This window comes from Homo sapiens, chromosome 13, assembly GCF_000001405.40.
Source record: "Homo sapiens chromosome 13, GRCh38.p14 Primary Assembly".
Classification (NCBI taxonomy): Eukaryota; Metazoa; Chordata; class Mammalia; order Primates; family Hominidae; genus Homo; species Homo sapiens.
The window spans coordinates 46946972-46951256 of NC_000013.11; the positions used below are offsets into that span (position 1 = coordinate 46946972).

A 4285-nucleotide genomic window follows, 5' to 3' on the forward strand; every position below is an offset into this window, starting at 1 on the left:
TCAGAATCTCCTGAGGCTGTGTCACAGGCACATTCTGAACCTTGGCAAGATAAACTTTCTAAGTTGATTGAGACTTGTCTCACATCTTTGGCTTACATACATCTCAAGGAGACAGGTATTATAGGTAAAATAATAAATCAACACATGGAAGCTATACATTGGTTTGAATGGAAAAGGCAAGGCATTTCAAAGCAAGGTCTTACAAGTCATAGGTGGGAATCCTTCAGTTGACAATTGCTTGAGAGAATTGAGTTATTATCTAAAGACTTGAAGTCAGTAGAAAAGTGTGCTTGATTTAAGTTAATGGGGTTGTAGGGTCCTTTGGCCCTCTGAATGTTTGCTGAAAATCACTGATATGAGATAGATTGATTAAATAAATTTGTATGCCTTTTTTTCCTATTAATGTGTACACAGCCTTCAGAATGAAAACACCACCTGTCAATGAGGTTCGGAAGCTTATATATCATCCCGAGGTTACAGAATAAATGCAAGCTCAGATCATGGCCAAAAACAGGTTTTAGCAGCAAGAAGAGTTATGGGAAGGAGAAAGGAAGAGGCTTCGCTAGCAAAGGTGGCCTTGTTATGTAGATGAAGCCTCATAGGTAGCAGCCCTCAGAGAGAACAGATGGTGAAAGTCTCTTTTCAGACATTGAAAGGTGTCAGACTCAATCTCCCCTAGATCTAGGAAAGGCCTAGAAAGGGAAGTCATGACTACATTAATGGAGATTCTTTACAGATGCAAATTTCCCCCACAAAAGACAGGTTTGCAAGGCCATTTCAGTCTGTTGCCCTTGAGGCAACCATTTGAAAATAAATAATCAGGACCAAATAATCAAAAAAATAATCAGGGTCTTTATTTGTCGTATGATGTTATATCAGAGTCAGATTGCAAAGTCAGTCAGGTAATACTGGGTTCATTAAAAAAAAAAAAAACTCATCTAATGAGATTTTTATGGTTTGTAGGGTATAATCCTCCAGGCTCCTTCATTGGGAATCTGGGCAAGAGAAAAAAAACCTGAGTTTCCTTCTTACAACCACTCAGTAGAACATGGAAGGTTTAATTTGCATGCAAGTGCCATGATCCCCATGGTAGAACCTGGTCTAATATCTTAGTGGTTTAGGAGCTTGGATTCTGCTGCCAGATTGCCAGGATTTGAATCTTGCCTCCCCTACTCACTACCTGTATTACTTTGGACGAGTTACTTAACTAATTTGTGCCTCATTTTACTTATCTGGAAAATAAAGAAAATAATGGTGCCTACCTCAAAGGACTGTTTTAAGGGTTGATTTGGTATCAGTAAAACATTGGGTACAGTGCCTGGCATGTAGTAGGCACTATTTAAGTTTTAGCTACACTGAAAAAAAAAGAGAAATGCCCGAGGATACTCATGGGCAGCATTCAGGGCTGTTTCAACCAAGAAGAATAGGCCTAGATAGGCCAAGAGCTTGTTGTAAGGCAGATAGAGTCAGGATGTATAAATCTGGTTTATAGTCATTTGGTGGGAATTTGAAGGGGAAAATGTGGAACACATGATATATGATCTCTTAATAAATTATCTTCCAGAAAAATTCCTGCTAGGGAAATCATACCAGGTTTCTGGGGTGGGGCTATATTGGGTACCTAGTGAGTCATGTTAATGAGCCGTGTATAGCCTTAAGGCCATATTGGTATCCAGGAGCCCGATGATGCTCTATGCTATAGCTTAATAGTGGATTTCGGCACAAATAGGGGATCATATTTCCCCTTTCAGTGTACTACAGGTAAGAGGAAGTTGAAAAGTGACAATTCATGGTGAGGTAAAATAAGACAAAATATTTGTCCTTTGTCCCCACAAAGCTCTTATGAAAACCTTAGAATTTCCTGAGCAATAAGGGAGATAGGAGCGTCTTCTGTTATTCACAATAAGTCCATTTCAACCTTAACTGAATTTATGCTAACGAATAAATTAGCATTTATTCATTATTTATTCAGCTCGTGGTGGGCTTCTAATTAGCTTCAGGATGGGGCTGGTCACCAGGAAGAACAAAAATTGATTCAAAGCTTGGAATTTTCAGCCCCACTTCCTAACCTCTGGGAAGGGGAGAGGGTCTGGGTAATGAGCTCAATCAACAATGGCCAGCGTTTTAATCAATTATGCCTACATAATGAAACTTCCATAAAATCCTTTAAATGGTGAGTTTTGGGGAGCTTCCAGGTAGGTGAAGACATTGAAATTCTGAAAGAATGGTATACCTGGAAAGGACGTGGAAGCTCTGTGCCTGCCTCCCCATACCTCGCCCTGTGCATCTCTTCCATTTGGTTGTTTCTGAGTGTTCCTTTATAATAAAGGGGTAATAATAAACTACTTACCTGAGTTCTGTGAGTCATTACAGCATATTATCACACCTGAGAGGAAGGTTGTGGAACCCTCAAACTTATAGTTGGCTGAGCAGAAATATGAGTCGTAGTCTGGCATGATTGAGCTCTTAACTCATGGGGTCTGCACTAATTCCAGGAGTTGATATCAGAACTGAATTGTTAGATACTCAGTTGGAGTCAGAGAATTAGAATTGTTTGGTGTGGGAAAATTTCCACATATTTGGTGCTAGAACATGTCACATGGCCAAATGAGAAATATCTACATTGTTAAGATGAGCCATATCTGTGTTCAGGAGGGGAAATATCTTTGGCTAGGACATGGGTTTCCTGGGAGCTTCAGAGAGAGGTACAATTGCCCAAAGGAGGTGCTTGGATGTTATAATATAGATATTGTAAGGAAGAGAATCAATATTATTTGACATTTATGTAAGAAAAGCCTGAGGATTCCCAGACTAAGTCAGAAGTGACTTCTGGGCTGAGTTTTCCATGACTGCATTGATTATTAATTTTTTATTCATTTATTCAATAAAGATATATTGATTTTCTGTTATGTGCTAAGCATTTGAAATACAGCAGTGACAAGTCCTCATCTTGAGATAGGCTATTATTTAGCAAAAGGGAAAAGACATTGAAGCAATAATTAAATAAATGAAGAGCTGATGAGAACTAAAGACTACGGTTATATTTTTTAAAATTTGCTATGCCAGAAGCTCTCAGGAATATGCAAGAGGGAGACTAAATTTAGAATTAAAAAACCTTCTGGAATTACTTAACTACCCTGCACTTTGTGATATTCTTTCCTCCAAGAAAGCATAACATTCTTTAATGCAACTCATACAAAAAAACATAGAAGAGGATAGAGATAAGGAAGTTTAAAATTCTTGTTAGAGATACGTGATGCCCTGAGATAGGTCATAATTCCCCAGTTTCTAATGGAGTACTTTGTGGTAGCGATATCCCTATTCAGGATGTTCTAGTTTTACTGTGAGGAAGATCTTCCTCTTCAATAAAATGAGATGATAAAGAGTTATGATGCATAATCTACGTGTAGTATATACTTTGAATATCACATAGTATCACGTAGTATACTTTGAATATCACATAATATACTACATAATATGTAGTATATTATTAGAATAGAGTATTTGATTTTCTGAACAGAACACAAAGCATTGTCTGTTTTAGGAATTGGCCTGTCTTCAGGATCCATTCCCTTATTTCAATCATTCTTAAATTCTATCCAAGGACTGTTGGTTTTCTACCTTCTTTTCATAATCCCTATAAATTGTTTCCTATTTGCAAGTATTTACTCCATTCTTCAAATTTGACTAAAACAACAAAAATGAATACTCACAGCATACTACAGTAGGCCATCCTAGTACAGCCTACTGACCCTAACAATCTCTGATTTCTATAGTGTTTCAACCGTTGATCTCCCTTGGAACAGATGACCTGAGATCAGAAAAGAGAGGTGCTCATTATTTATGCAGGCAGTTGGTTATTTAACACATCTTTAACTCTTAAAATTACCCTTCCAAAACTTGTACATCTCTGAGGAGACATTTCTAGAGATGGAACTCCCATTTTGACTAAAGCTTTTGTTAAAATCAGAGGGGCAGGGCTATAACTGCCCAGCCAAATTCTTGATTCGATGCAAAATACAAGTAGGTTGGGTTCTTATGCCTAAGCCTATAGAAAACTCTACATACCCTGTCTTCATGTAATGAAATTGGTCTTCTCCTTGAATGCAGTTTTCAAGCTGCTGAATTCTGCACCTGCAGCAATTTCTGGCTTATTTTCAAGAAAGTCCCAGGGAATCACAAATTATAGAGCTATATGCCTTGCACAGAAGTTTAACAACATAGCCCCATGTAGTCTTTGCATTAAACACATCAGAAATTAAGGGAAATGAAGATAAACAGCAAA

At 37.8% G+C, this 4285-nt stretch overlaps 1 annotated feature.

Annotated features, from left to right (window-relative positions):
• Positions 351-1175: an enhancer, noted in NCBI's record as "OCT4-NANOG-H3K4me1 hESC enhancer chr13:47521457-47522281 (GRCh37/hg19 assembly coordinates)". NCBI's record gives its function as "activates a minimal SCP1, AML or CMV promoter by ChIP-STARR-seq in primed H9 embryonic stem cells {active_cell/tissue: H9 hESC(primed)}" and the evidence as "EXISTENCE:reporter gene assay evidence [ECO:0000049][PMID:30033119]".